This window comes from Homo sapiens, chromosome 11, assembly GCF_000001405.40.
Source record: "Homo sapiens chromosome 11, GRCh38.p14 Primary Assembly".
NCBI lineage: Eukaryota > Metazoa > Chordata > Mammalia > Primates > Hominidae > Homo > Homo sapiens.
In genome coordinates, this window is record NC_000011.10 from 43,822,957 (window position 1) to 43,838,552 (window position 15,596).

At 38.0% G+C, this 15,596-nt stretch overlaps 1 protein-coding gene and 1 long non-coding RNA gene across 8 annotated transcripts in view, besides 1 other annotated feature; one reads left to right on the forward strand and one right to left on the reverse strand.

The window, feature by feature from the left end:
* Positions 1-15,596, forward strand: part of HSD17B12 (hydroxysteroid 17-beta dehydrogenase 12) — a 299,895-nt gene that overhangs the window by 266,236 nt on the left and 18,063 nt on the right. For all 7 annotated transcript variants that reach the window (XM_024448573.2, XM_047427074.1, XM_024448571.2 and 4 more), the window contains 2 exons: positions 8,020-8,054; positions 15,361-15,442. In XM_024448573.2, coding sequence (XP_024304341.1) covers positions 8,020-8,054; positions 15,361-15,442 — 117 coding nt within the window. The remainder of the gene's footprint in view (positions 1-8,019; positions 8,055-15,360; positions 15,443-15,596) is intronic.
* Positions 5,977-10,992, reverse strand: LOC107984328 (uncharacterized). Its single transcript, XR_001748197.3, has 2 exons — positions 10,654-10,992; positions 5,977-8,634 (listed from the first exon to the last, which is right to left on the reverse strand). It is a non-coding gene; the product is annotated as an uncharacterized LOC107984328 (long non-coding RNA).
* Positions 7,505-8,704: an enhancer, noted in NCBI's record as "P300/CBP strongly-dependent group 1 enhancer chr11:43852011-43853210 (GRCh37/hg19 assembly coordinates)". NCBI's record gives its function as "activates an origin of replication core promoter dependent on BRD2, BRD4, P300/CBP, MED14 and CDK7 cofactors, with strong dependence on P300/CBP, by STARR-seq in HCT116 cells {active_cell/tissue: HCT116}" and the evidence as "EXISTENCE:reporter gene assay evidence [ECO:0000049][PMID:35650434]".

The following is a 15,596-nucleotide window of genomic DNA, read 5'->3' on the forward strand; positions in this document are numbered from 1 at the left end:
AAGAGCATCTCAAGCAGGGGATTATATATTAATTTCTTTTTACTCTTTTTAAGTCAATTTGAAATTTAATATTTTTATATTAATTTAATTTTTTACTTTTTTTGGGGGGGTCAGTATAAGACTTAAAGCAGGGGCTTATAATTTAGTTCTTCCTTCATCAGACATTCAACCAAGGTGGGGGCTTGAAACCATTTCTTATTAAGGGTGGGTGTGGGTAGGGCACCTTTCTGAACCCTCCAGAGTGTCATGCGCCCACTGCATGTCTTCCCTTCACTGAGCATTTCATTTTTAGACTCTTTCTTTCTTTCTTTTGTGTGTGTTTTTCTTTTTTTGAGACAGGGTATCACTCTGTCACCCAGGATGGAGTGCAGTGACACTATCATAGCTCACTGTAACGTCAAACTACTGGGCTCAAGCGATCCTCCTGCCTTAGCCTCCTGAGTAGTTAGGACTACAGGCATGCACCACCATGCCTAGCTAATTTTTAAATTTTTTATAGAGATGGAGTGTTGCTATGTTGCTCAGGCTGGACTGGAATTCCTGGCCTCAAGCGATCCTCCTGCCTCAGCTTCCCGAAGTGCTGGGATTACCAGTGTGAGTCACCATGTCTGGACTAGAGTTTTTCTTAGATTGAGTCTCTCTTTCAGTTTAGAGCCTCTCTACAGATTGTAAGCACCATGAGGGTTGGTATCATGTCCTTTTCCTTTCCTGCTGAATCCTACCTGGGCCTCGCATACGTAAGGTGCACAACACATTTTTTTTTTATTCTAAGAAATAATAATAAATGAATGATTTTTTAAAAACAGAAAATTCTGAACTGAAAAAACTGAACTGAAATTTTAGTTCAAGTTCTTTGGGAATAAGGGTCACACTGATTGTGTGTGGCCCTAGAAGGTTGAACTTGAATCAATCGCTATTTATACTGAAGTAAATTGTGAGAATGTCCTAATCTTTGAATCTGCCAGAAGTGGAAGAGGCGGAAGGTGAGTATCCTGGGTCAGAGGTTGTAAACTGTTGGTCTGTGGGCCAGAGGTGGCTGACGAACACATTTTGATTGGCTCAGTTTTCAAAGTTAGGAAATTTTACACCGAGATTTCTAACTTCTCTTGGGAAAAATCTGAAAATTGGGTAACACAGACCTGAATTACTACATGGCAGCAAGTGACTAGAGCTGAGTAGCTTCCGGATATATGCAGTAAGTTAGGCCTGCAGCTCTCTAGATTGCCACAGTCCCCACCAGTCCCTATTGTTTGACTTCTCTCACTCATTTACATTACCTCTCTGACCTTTCAGGCACTTGAGTTTGGGTTCTTCTGTTCCAGGTGACTCCAAGTGTTCAATGTACTCAAACAGAATAACTGCTTGGAGAAATTGAAGGACTAGAATGACATCGACTAAATTAATCTCTTCTGTCTTAGTCCCTCTGGGCTGCTCTAACAAAATACCTTAGATTGGGTAGTTTATAAAGAGCATAAACTTATTTCTCAGAGTTCTGGAGGCTGGGAAGTCTAAGATCAGTGCCCCACCAGATTTGGTGTCGAGTGAGGACCCCATTCTTCATAGATGGAGCCTTCTTGCCATGTCCTCATGTGGCAGAAGAGGCAAACAAGCTCCCTCAGGCCTCTTTTATAAGGGCACCAATACCACGTGTGAGGGTGGAACCCTCATGATGTAATCATTTCTCAAAGGCCCCACCCTCCTCTTAATGTCACCATATTGGGGATTAGGTTTGAACATACAAGTTTTGGAGGGGTGGAGGTTGGGCGCAGCGGCTCACGCCTGTAATCCCAGCATTTTGGGAGGCTGAGATGGGTGGATCACTTGAGCCCAGGAGTTCAAGACCAGCCTGGCCAACATAGTGAAACCCCATCTCTACCAAAAATACAAAAATTAGCTGGGCATGGTGGCACGTGCCTGTAATCCCAGCTACTCAGGAGGCTGAGGCAGGAGGATCACTTGAACCCAGGAGTTTGAGACCAGCCTGGCCAACATGGCGAGACCCCATCTCTATCAAAAATAAAAAAATTAGCCAGGCATGGTGGCTCACACCTGTGGTCCCAGCTGCTCAGGAGGCTGAGGCAGGAGGATTGCTTGAACCCAGGAGGCAGAGGTTGCAGTGGGCCAAGATCGTGCCACTGGACTCCAGCCTGGCTGGCAGAGTGAGACCCTGTCTCAAAAAAAAAAAAAATTTGGAGTGGAGGGACACAAACATTTAGACTATGGCATCTTCCACCCCATGATTCTCTGAAATCAGAGTATGAGACCCTTTGCATGCTTTTTGAAAATCTATTTTTTCCTTTTTATACCACAGTGTATTCATTGTATGTCACTTAGCCAGAAGTGTCTTATGCGATGCCCTGCCCATGGAGTAGATGATAAAAGTTTAGATGAATGGACAGATGGGTGAAAAGCACGGAAACATTTGTTTTTCTCACCTGGATTTGCCTCTGGCATGTGACACAATGCCAGTAGGGGGAGCCCTCTATTAATTTGAAAATCCATGAGAACAGTCTCCGTTCAGCAGTCTAATTGTATTTAATTTAGGAATTATGTTAAGAATGCATCCGGGCACCCTGCTTCAAGAATTTAACAACATTAGGAATATGATAAATTATGGGAAGGAGAGTAAAACCCTCACCACTAATCCCCATCCATGGCTTTTCTAGATGAAGGCATTCCAAGTTAATAGCTAGTCTTTTAATTCATTTTGAAATTAGTTATCATTATGCTCCTAAAAAATTCCAAATTATTGGATACATTTAGTCCTTAGAGTGTCATAGTAATGGCCTGCTTCAGGCATAACTACAAAATGATGGTTTTGCCAAACGGCATGATAACCACTCTGCATTGTTTTCTTCTTCCAAAAATGAGAGAGTAGTTATAGATTGGTACTGATGTTGCTTTTCACCTCCAAATGAAGCTAGGTTATAGGATAAATGCCTTATATACGAGTGAAAATGAAAAATCTCTGACAACTTTAGAAATTATTTTCTCCTCCCCAAACCTGTCACTTTTGAGAAGTTAGCTTATTTTGGAAAAATTTAGGTATTGGAAACTCTTAGCATACTATAGTATGTGAAACTTATAAAAACTGTGTATGATTGTATATGCAGTCTTTTTTTTTCTTTTTTTTTTTTTTTTTTTGAGACGGAGTCTCACTCTGTCGCCAAGGCTGGAGTGCAGTGGCGTGATCTCCGCTCACTGCAAGCTCCGCCTCCCGGGTTCACGCCATTCTCCTGCCTCAGCCTCCCGAGTAGCTGGAACTACAGGCGCCCACCACCACGCCCGGCTAATTTTTTTGTATTTTTAGTAGAGACGGAGTTTCACCGTGTTAGCCAGGATGGTCTCGATCTCCTGACCTCGTGATCTGCCCGCCTCGACCTCCCAAAGAGCTGGGATTACAGGCATGAGCCACTGTGCCCGGCTGGTATATGCATTCTTTTTTAAAATTTTGTTTAGAGTTTATGAATTATGGCTTTGGAATCATTATTAATTGGCATGGAGCTCTTTGTTCTGAAAAGTTCTTTTTCTTTTGATAAATTAATGTAGATCAAACCAAATTTATTACAAAAGGAAAAATTTTATTTTGAATGATATAGGATTGAATTTAAGGTTAAGTAATATGGAGCTGGGAAAATGGCAAGGCAGGGCTCTTAACTTTCACAAAAACTTAACATTAATAAAAAGGGAAATCAAATAATACTTGGAGATCTCAAAGCACTCTTAGAAACTTTGTCTAATTAAGCTTTCCACCCACTGTGCAATAAATATTCTATTAGCTATACAGGTGAGATTCTAAGAATTTCTAATTAAGTTGTGTTCTTTTTTACCGCGGTGCTCAAATTACACAGTTTGCCAAAGGAAATGTGTGCTGTGTCATTGTAGCATGATTTTCAATGGAGTTACCATCTAATTTCTCCAAACCAGGCATTGTGTAACACTGTTGTCACTTTCTGTAATTATTTTCACTGTTACACTGTGATTTTGAAAAATTATTGTTAATGATTACAGTTGAAAACTTGTTTAAGGTATTTGCATCTAAGAAATTGTTTACTTCCAAATTGTGTGGGTACGTTTTTAGTTACTTGGATTCAGATCCTATTTATGGTAAGCAGGTTTCTTTGGGGTAGAGGGAGGGCAGATGTGGACAAAGTGGCTATTTGTGGTATCCTAATTCTGGGTATGAATATCCTGGATTCCAGGGGCTTTGCCTGGATTCTAGGGTGAGTTGTTATACTTTATTCTCTCCATGTGTATTATGATAATACAGGTGATTAAAGCATCTTGAATTTTAATGTAATCTTTTAATTTGAGCTTTTGATTGTCTTTTTGAACATTATGCAATCATGTTTTCTTTGTACTGTTCTCTCTAAAAAATGACCAAATGCCAAAGATTACATGATATGAGAATAATTTGCTTATATTGTATCATTTTTCATACTAAATTAATGAGTGGGAAAATCTACATTGGCTCCTGGGTATAAAATAAAGTTCCTTCTACAAACTGTTGATTACTGACGCTACAGGAGTAAAACAGAAAAAGTTTTATTCATATTAGGTTTCTTTTAGAAATAAGATTGTGGAGGCTTTTCTAATTGTAAAAACAATGCAAGATTGTTGCCAAAAGTATGAGAAATATATACAAACACTAAGAAGAAATTAAGTCACTTTTAGTCGTAACTGCAGATGGTTACATTTTAATATAACATTTTCAAGGATTTTCTAGGCCAGCCAATGCATTTTTGCTGAATAATCTAATCATCTAAATAATCTTAATCTAATAGTACTGATTTTGATTTTGTATAAGCGAAATAAGCCTCTTATTTATTTCCCAGCCAGAATATACATTGCTATACCAGTAAATACTAGTAAATATTTTACTCTTGACATTGAATCAAATTCTAAATTTAGCTGTCATCAAGACATTCATTTTTCCTCATATATTTGTATACTTTTTGGCTAGCTTGCATATAAAGTGATAACAATACCTTAAGTGTGATATAACATATATATTAAACTATCCCCTTTAGATTCTAGGCATCTAGGATTTTCTTGTGGTGAGGATTAATGATACTGTCACTGAAAATATATATGTATATAAAGAGGAAACACTTTCCCTGCAAGGACAAGGATTTCACACTCTCACTGTTGTAGAAGCACAATTGTAGAAACTTTTGTCTACTTCTTTTTTTTTTTTTTTTTTTGAGACGGAGTCTCGCTCTGTCGCCCAGGCTGGAGTGCAGTGGCGGGATCTCGGCTCACTGCAAGCTCTGCCTCCCGGGTTCACGCCATTCTCCTGCCTCAGCCTCCCAAGTAGCTGGGACTACAGGCGCCCGCCACTACGCCCGGCTAATTTTTTGTATTTTTAGTAGAGACGAGGTTTCACCGTTTTAGCCGGGATGGTCTCGATCTCCTGACCTCGTGATCCGCCGCCTCGGCCTCCCAAAGTGCTGGGATTACAGGCGTGAGCCACCGCGCCCGGCCACTTTTGTCTACTTCTTAGGAAAGAATTAAAATTGTTCGCTATACACTTTTGGAAACAGTCCCAATGGGGAAGAAAATGGGTCTGGAAATCATGTTTACTACTACTTGTCTAATATTCTTAACCACTGAACTTGCAAGTTATGGTAACCTTTTTTTAGAAGTGTGTTAAGAGGAACAAAAATTTTTCTGGTGCAGCAATTATCACCTGCAGATGGCCTAATATTAGCATTGAGTTAACTCCAGAAACAGCCTGTGAGCTGTGAAATGGAGTTCAGATAGATAGTGACAATTCACAGAAATGCCTGGTATATTCATATAAATAACCAAATATCAAGATACCAGCTGATGCTTACAGATAACTCTACTAATAACTTAGCTAAAAATCCTATAAAAATTTGGTGTTAAAGAAAATTTAATTTGATCTGAATATAACGAAGCCTCTTAACTAATGCGTAGAATATTAACGATTTGTATATACATACTCATATAAAGAAGGCTTGAAATTCAATTTATTGTGACTTATAATCTGATTAGAAGGAAAGATAATTTCATTATAGATGAAGGCATTAATCAATTTGATAAAAGCATGCAGATTTCAGGTTAAGTTTTCTCAGGCTTTTCATTGTTATTATTTGACAGATTAAAAAAAGATGTTACATTTTATGACAAGGACAGAGAATTTAGAGTCAGAATGTAAAAGGAGGAGCTCATGAGCTATGAGAAAGAAATTAACTTTTGCAGGGGAGAACTTGTGTCTTTGCTGATGAATCCTCTAGTCGTTGAGCATTCAGCAAATATTTCTGGCCTTTAATAGCCAGGCATTGAAATCAGTGTTTATGTCAAGTTATTAAAACTTCTTGAGTTTTAATTCATATATATAAAGAATATATTTTGAACATGTCCCTACATAAAAGGCCTCTTGATGAAGGAAACATTTAATGTTTAGCATGCCATGATATAATTTTGTAAGTATGGTTTTATGTTATGGGGTTTTGTTTTGTCTCATGATTTTCTAGATAATTTTTGCCATTCAGAAAGCAGACATTTAATATATACATGACATGCATATGGTATAAGGGAAAAAATAGCTCCTGATATTCCCCCATCTCCCTGCCCCCAATATTCCAACTGGAAATAGAAGAGGGACTGTTTAAGAGAGCCAAACAGGCAGTGGCTACCCCTTCTGGACTCCACTTAGCTGCTTTATAGTTAACAGATCTCATTTCCTTAATACAAATGCGCACGCACACACACAGACACACATACACCTGGGTAAAGACATTTTTATTACCAGTCTCCTTCCTTATTCTGTTTCTGGTGATCTCAGAACTTTGGAGAACTGAATTATAGCTTCCCTTCACAAAATGCTGGGGGAACTCTTTATAATACTTTAGCTAAGCATTATGGTCCCTGATGAAATGTGCTAAATAAAAAAAAAAAAGTTTTCAAATACTGTTAGGGTTTTGTATAATCTATCCTTTACAATAAAATACCCACCACTGTTAATATGCCTGATGTACATCTGTACTACCATACAAAGCTGTTCATAATACATCTGGATTGGATGTTCACATAGCAGAATTTACCTTGTTAAATCTGGCTGGCATTTTATTTCTTCAGAATATTTCTAGGAAAACAAAATTCCCTTCTCATCAGAATGCTGTCTACTTTAATTAATATGAAGTATTATTCAAGATAGAAACAACAAAATTTCTATGCTTAGCATGCATTGAAACCTTATTATTACAAAACAGCATCTGTTTCTTAGAGAATTGATGATATCCAGGAGTCAGAAATTCACGTTACAGCCTCGGTATTTAACTGTGAGGTGATTTTGACTAAACCATTGGACTTCTGAACTTTTCTTGGTTAATAATATATCAAAACAGAGTTTAAAAATAGCCCCTCTCATTATATGTATTTAGTCAACAATTATGGAGTCCTTAAAAAATGCAGATGTCACCTTTTCATGTTGGTTACTAGAGATCACATCTTAACTCTCTTTAAGGATGAGTTTTACTTACAGCTAACTAGACCAACAAGAGAAATGAATGTGAAGTTACACTTACTCTTTGCCAACCTACCACTTTATCGTATTCTTTTAAAGACTTTTTTTGGCTGGAAAAGTTTATGTGAGCTCTTGAGGTTAGAAAGCTTAAGTCATCTTGGTAGGCAGGATATTTCTTCTGATAACATATATTCTTTTCTGAGAATGCATTTTGGGAAATGTAGATTTTCACTGTAAATCCTTCATTGTTTGAAGAACTCTGTGCCAGTATTACATTTCAGGCAAGACTAATTTTAGCCAGGTTCATTAAAGTATTCCCTGTGTTCTCTCCAGTAATTTCAGCTGGTTCCTTTTTATGCCCTCTTGACACAGTCACATTCTACAGTGTACAGAAAATAACCTGCTGTCTGTAGAAGTGGTGAATGGTTTCATGATTCCCTTCTTTTTAGTGTGGGTGAGTTTTCTTCACTCTTTTTCTGTTGCCTGCATCCTTGGCCATCATGAATGTTTTGCTTTCTCTCTTGCAGATGACACAATTGGTACTGCCTGGCATGGTGGAAAGGTGAGTCACAAGCTCACATACAAACACTGTGGAAGCAGAGCTCATGATTATTTAGAGGGAGAATCCTTGCTTTGAAAAAATCACTGAAGTGACTAATGAACCAAGCCTCCATGTCTTAGCCACAGAGTGATGTACCAGGCGAGTCACAGTAGAGCATGAGTCATCGGTGGTGGAGGCCTTTTCCACTCGATTCCCTTTTTATTTCTCTCTCTAGGGTTGTAGTGGTTCCTTTAGATCAGGATGAAAAAGCCTGCCTGAGTCACCATCACTAACTCAATTGCCTACTATTCTGAGGGGGCGGATAGAGTTCCTGGGATATTCCCGGGAATACCTTCTTAAAGCTGTATTCTCTCAAAGCCAAAATCAGTGGAGTTGGATGAAGCAAGACCTCTTCCTCTGGTTTTTCACTTTTTACTGGGAGAATGGCTGTTATATAAAGTGATTATAAGATGTCAAACCAACCCTTGGAGGAAAAGGCAATGTCCACTCGCCCCATCTTTGTTCCAGTTTGAATTGGTTCTGCTAGTACATGCCGAATGTCTTCATTTTGATTGAGAAATATGTTGTAGATTTCTGTTATCTGAAATAGCATGAAGTGTAGAATTGTAATTAAGCTGTTTCTTCCTTGGAAAAATCTGAATGATGTCTAGGCCTTCAAAGAAAAGCTGCTAAAAAGATTTGGGCTTGCATCCTGAGCTAGCTCGATCATTTGCTGAATTTAGGGCATCGTAGTCATCTTTTTTTCTGCAAAATAACTATGAGTTTGGAAGAGACCCAGAGGAATCACAGCTTTGAAAAGGGAAGACCCAAGGACCCTACTTCTGTTAGGAAACCTCTATGACCTACTCCAGGCAGGGATTACAGCTTATGTTTATTGAGTATATAGTAAGTGCCAGGAACTTAGTAAGTGTTAACTCATTTAACTTTGATAGCCTCCCACCATTGTACAGATGAGGAAACTGAGGTTAGGAATCCATTTGTTGAGCATCTACAGGGACTAGTTAAGAAACAGTTTCTCAGCAAAGCTCCTTGTAATCCCATTTTATATACACTATTTTGTGTATTTTAATTGTTTTATTTTAGTAACACTTCCCTTTAAAATCTTCAAACTGCCTATTGTTAGGTGCCAGTGGGAGTGGACCCCTGATGGTCAGATATATAAATGGCAGTGGTTAGACCAGACCAGAACCCTAGAAGATGGTAGAGTTGGGGCAAAGTAGAACCCAGGAGGGATTAAATTTGGGCCATCACCTTAATCCTAGTTTTGACATCTGCAGGTAACATGGTATTGGTTCAGAATAGTAAATCTATCCATTAAAAAAGAAACACTTATAAACCACAGAGGTATTGTAAAAGGAATTTTTAATTATGTTGATGAAAACCATATCAAAAGAGATAATGGTTGCAAAATCATTTTACAGCATAAAGTCTTAGAGTCAAAGAGTCACAGAAATCCAGTGCATTAAATTAATTGACAGTAACTTCCCTCCTTTGACAGATGAAAAAATAGAGGCCCAAAGAGATGGAGTGCTATGAAGCTATACAGTTAGTAAATAATACAAAACCAAGAAGCTGGGAACTTCACTGCTATCTCTGTAGACCTGACAGCCATGATCACAGCTGGAGCATTACATAAAGGCAATGCAAAAAAGGAGAGTCCATCCATTCAATAGGCATTCATTTAGTCAAGCGTCTCAAGGATGAGTTGGATCCTTGCCTTTTAAGAAATCAAGTTGAAGCTGGGCGCAGTGGTTCACGCCTATAATCCCAGCACTTTGGGAGGCTGAGGTGGGTGAATCACTTGAGGCCAGGAATTCAAGACCAGCCTGGTCAACATGGCAAGACCTCATCTCTACTAAAAGTACAAAAACATTAGCTGGGCGTGGTGGCACACAGCTATAATCCCAGCTACTCAGGTGGCTTAGGCACAAGAATCACTTGAACCCTGGGAGGCATTGGTCGCAGTGAGCCAAGATAGTGCCACTGCACTCCAGCCTGGGCAACAGAGCGAGACCCTGTCTCAAAAAAAAAAAAAAAAAAAAAAGGAAAGATCAAGTTGATTTTAAACTGAGGTTGAGAAATGGTGGGAAGTTTTCAGAAGCTATGACTGAACCTGACACCACATTACCATTTTGATACGTCTTAAGAGCTAGTGAGAAATATATGTGGATGTTATGAATCAATACTTTTGGTTAGGAAAAGGAACGTCTATGTCTACTTGAATTAAAGAACTTAGTTACTAGATGTGTCAGTCAAGGTAAGCTACCTGCTGAAACATGCCACTCCCAAATCTCAGTGGCTTAACACATAAAGGTTTACTTTTCCCTCCCCTCTCTACCCGTCATTCAGGATCTGAGGCTCCTTCCATCTAGGGGCGTCATCATTTTCTAGGGTCTTGGAGTTCTCTGCATCCAGCTGACAGATGAAAGACAAGAGAGTAAAGATGGTTTTAAGGGAAGTTTCACTTCTGCCCACATTTCATTGTGCAGAACTCAGTCACAGGCTACAACTACTGCACAGAAGGCCAGAAATATTAGCTGTATGCCCAAAGAGGAGAGAAAAATTCCAAGTTAGCAGATCATATTGAAAGCATTCTTACCTTACATATTATAAGTGGTTTCATTATAGCCTGCTCTTTACACCATCCCCAAATGGCTTATTTCCTATGGCTGGTTTCCATAGCATTAGTATCTCCATTGAGTAACAGCAGAGTCCTTTATCATGATCCTTTGTTGTTGTTTTCCTTCCACTGCTTCCACCTCTGATGTGGGAGATTTTCCAAACCCTCTAGAACTATAGCCTAGGGCCAACTGACTATCGCTAAACAAATACCTATAATCAAACTAAGGTATTGTTACCATAGATGTAGAAAGTACATAATTACATTATAGAGGAAAGTTGCTCTTTTCACTTCCCTGGAATTATAAACATTGTGTACAGCTGGAGCCAGGAGGTGGTTGCCATAACAACCATGGGAAAGCTAAAAATAGCCCCTTTCATAACTGTATTGCTTAAGGTGGAATTATGACATGTTATGGTGTTTTAGGGCAAGTAATTCTCTTTCATGTGCTGAATGTTTGCAAACTTTCTTCCACAAAGCAATATTTGTACAATGTAAGTATTTGGATTGCTGGTTCTAATTATACACCTGACCCCTATGTTCTAAGATTCTTTTTGACATAGATCTCTATTTTTATAGGTTTCTCAGTCTTCGTGAGCATCTGTTACAGAACTGTCTGTGCCAATTTCAGTATTATATTTAAGCTTTAATATATATATATAATGACAACCCTCCCCCTCAAGAGCCTGCTTTTGTACTCCTTGATATGAAGTGGAAATGTGAAGAATTGGGATGGAATTTTTTTTTTTTTGTACATTCTTCCTTGGCTACAATCAAATTCTGTATGCAGTTAGCAGTCCCCACTAGGATTAACCCTGCAGTTCCGGTTCCTCATAGCAGCAGGTCTCTCTTCCCACCTGCACTGTGGGACAGTGATGAGGTTTCTAAGGAAGGTAGAAAACAGTGACTTACTTCAAAGGAGACCTATTACGTCCTCTATGACAGTAGAATTTTTATAGAGGTGTGGACAAGGATACCACAACAGTCTGATAGAATATTAAAGCACTTATAAAATAAAGGCTTGGCAATTTTTTTTTAATCCAGGTGACAATTAAGGGAGTCTTATTGGGAATTTCACAGGTCTGAGGGAATTCCATGAGAGAGCATATCTATAGGAAGCTGTAAGTGTGAGGGACTGAGTTTTATAGAGTTGGGCGAATTTAATGTCTGGCTTGTGGGAGGACTAGTAATTAAAGAGAATATGTTTATATGAAAAGGTACTTTCCTGTCAGCAATTGGTGTTTTCTGCTTTGGGTTTTTTCGCAACATTTTAGTTCTAGTAGATCCTCAGTAATTTGTACCACTGAGACAGCATTGTGTGGCTGTTAGCAAGTAAGCAGTATAATGAATTAAGAATGTTGCATTACAGAAAACATTGCTTGACTTGTTTATTTGGATATTTGTCATAACAAACTAGAAAATGCGCTGAAGTATGAGCAACATGAGTCTTCATTATAGAACTTCAGCAAAAATTCTTAATGTACCTTCCAATCTTAGAATTGTTCCCGAGTCCCCAGAAAATGAGAGATTAACCAGGGTTTAGTTTCATGTTTGTTTCTGTGTGCAATTAAGCGCAGCCCATTTTGTCCTTCTGCTTGATATAACAGAGTTGTCATGAGTCTGGCTGTGCCATGGAAACTGGTTTGACGTCACTAATTCTGCTTAGATGGAGGATTAGAGCTAGACAACACGGTTGATTTAAAGGGCGAGTCTTTTGTGCCTTGCAGTCCCAAATGCTCAGCCCCGTTTCTACATAGAGAACAGATACTGTATACAGTACAAAGATTGAGGCAGGCTACACCAGTATATTAGCTGTGATTCAGACAGAACTAAGTTGAATATTATTGCCTTTGGAAAGAAAGAGCGAGAGAGTTTTACACTGTTGTGTGTGTGGGTGTGGGAGGAAGGTTTTTGTTAGACAAATATGTGAGCTTAATGGTAGGACAGAGATTTGTAGAAGGGCTATTTTCTCTACTGTCACTTTGGTACAATTTTAAATGCTACTCTTTTATTTACTTAGGTCGAGTGCATTCTTGCTTTATCATTTATTAGTCTTAGATTTGTTTTCATGTGTTTTAGCATGCAAATACTGTATTTTGTATGAAGTACCCTCAAACTCTGACTTTTCACTAATTCAAAGCAACTCCACCTCCTAGAAGTTTTCAATAGGATTAGAATACTTGAGAAACAAAATCTTAGTTGCCTTAAGGAGCAAACAAGTAAGGGAGGATGACTGCATGAATGTGACATTGGATAATTGATCTGTATTGTATTTTAATATGGGAAAGGAACTTTTATTATCTTTAAATGACTTTTCCTGTACTTAGATCATTGCTTTGGTGAGTGAAGTTTTAAGGGTCTGTTTTGATCAGGTCAAGATTTAATTTTTAAAGTGCACTTGATAATGTTAAATTTTACCTTTTACAGATTTTTAAATTGCATTTTGTTAGCGAGAAATGAAATTTAAAATGTAAGGTTTCTGTTCAAGGGCACATATAACAACCCCAGCTAACTTGAGTATAATGGAGCATTTAATCCAGCTGTTAGGCCAAGCAGTGATAGGCTGCAGCTTCAGTGGAAAGCCTCATTTTTCTGCATCTACTTCAAACTAGTTGTGTCTTCACTTGCTGTGAATGAGTTTGGACATAGCTGTTCCCAGTTATGTGAGAAAAGGTTAAAATAAAACACTACCCATACCTACAAGGATGCTTAGGATGCAGGAGAAGGGTTGACTTGTCAAGATTGAGGGTTACTTCTTAGAAAGCATATTGTGTTGCATACGATACAATAGCTCTCTTAGTTTTCACTTGATTGGGATCTGCTCCCAGTTTAAAGGTGATACATTCCAATATGTCATAAATATTTTTCTCTCTCTTTTCATAGATTTGTTGAGATAAATTTCACATACTGAACAATCTACCCATTAAAGTATACACTTTAATGGTTTTTAGGGTATTCACAGAGCTGTGCAACTATCACCACAGTCTAATTTTTGAACATTATCAATACCCCAAAAAAGATAAAGATATTTTAAATATTACAAATTAATACTAAATTAAAAATCTCCTGTAACAAAAGTGGTTTTTCTATTTTCATCAAAGGAATTTCTCAGAAATATAGATAAAATGAAAGGACTAGATATTCATTGCTAATTTACCAGTTTTTATGTTCGAATTGTTGGGTTCTAACTCCTGATACAAATTCTTACCTTAAAATTTAAAAAGAAAAGACTTTTCTGCTTCTGAGGAAGACACAGACAAAAAATACCAGAATGATATAATTAACCCATTGACTACTTATTTCCAACTTTATTCAAAACCCTCCTAATATTTTTAAATTTGAAATGTAATTTTTATCATCAAAATCTTAATGGGTTTCACAGTTTAGGAAGGCACATAATACTAATAAGGACTTCTGTTAAACAACAACAACAACTTCTTTCCAGTGACACAGACTAAGCTGAGGACTCCCACTTCCCTTTGATGGTTGAAGTGGCATCTCACCTAGAGGCTGGCAGATGGAGCGGGTGACTTTTGGGGATTATTTCATTTCAGATTTATGCCTAAAATAACTTAAATGCCATTTAATCATGTATCCTTTATTATTTTGCATAAAGGGGGTCTTTATAGTCCCTTTTTTAAGCTAAAAAAATAGGTGTTGGGAAGTAAATTCAGACAAAGAACAATGAGAAAGTGGGTTAAGGAAAGGAACCTAGTATGGGAGATAGGAGGTGGGTGGGATCAGGTTGCAGTGGCTGAAAAAGGGGAATCCTCTGAGAAGAATGGATTTGAGGGGAAGATATGGTAGCTGTGACACTCCTAAACCATAATTCTACACTTTACCTAACCTATACATACTTTTTAACAACTGGTATCTTTATAGCATTGCTTTTCTCAAGCTAATTTTCACTTTTTTGTAGAATTAGAAATTCCTGGTAACTTTGATTTTAAACTTTCAGTAGTCTCTAAAAGTTACAGTAACAGTTGAGCTTTGCCTTTTGGCAAAAGACACAGTTTGATGAACTAGAGTCACATAATTTTAGAGTCAACTCTTTGTTGGTGCCCAAGTATCTACAACCCAGGGAAAGTAGAAGTAGACAGTAGAAGTAGAATCTACAACCCAAGGAAAGGACATAGCCATTCACTCATTGCCAGAAAGTTTTATTAAGTACCTGTTGGTTATGTGCTCAGTACCGTGTGGAATATTTTGAGGGAAAGTGGGCTATTATATCCAGAAGCTTATGGTTTTGTTGGGGGGAGGAGAGAATGTTTATATACATAGAATGATTAAATCCTACAGTAAAGTAGTATGTGACGATATGTTAAAATAAAGGTGTATGCAGGGAATATAAAAGATCTGTAAGTAAAAATTCTCAGCACTGTGGCTAGAGAAGACCTCAGAGGGTAGAGATCAACTCGAGGAGACTGGAGATCTGATCTGGTTATGCCCTGGGTTACTAAGACTGGGAAATGAGCTAATCGTGAAGAAGAGCTATTTTTAGTTGATTGAATTATGTCTCATTTACTGACCAAGCATAGCACATACTGATGAAAGGCAGGGAGAGATATGTGGTAGAAAAACAGCTACATTATTCTGTTTCGAATAATTATATATCTCAATCTGTAATTCACAAACAACTGCATACTGTGGCTTCACTCCTTTTACACGGTACATTTTCCTTTTTAGATCCAAAGGGGCTATTCTGAACATTTCATCTGGCAGTGGCATGCTCCCTGTCCCACTCTTGACCATCTATTCTGCAACCAAGGTAAAAAATATTTTCTTAAATCATGTCAATATAGTAATAAGGGGTAATTTTTAGTCTGAGAAATTAACGTAGATTTAACTTTCCTGAAGTTCTGTTCTTGGCAGTTTTCCAGTAGACTGAGAAGAAAAGGAAAATACCCTACTTGAGTTTCAAA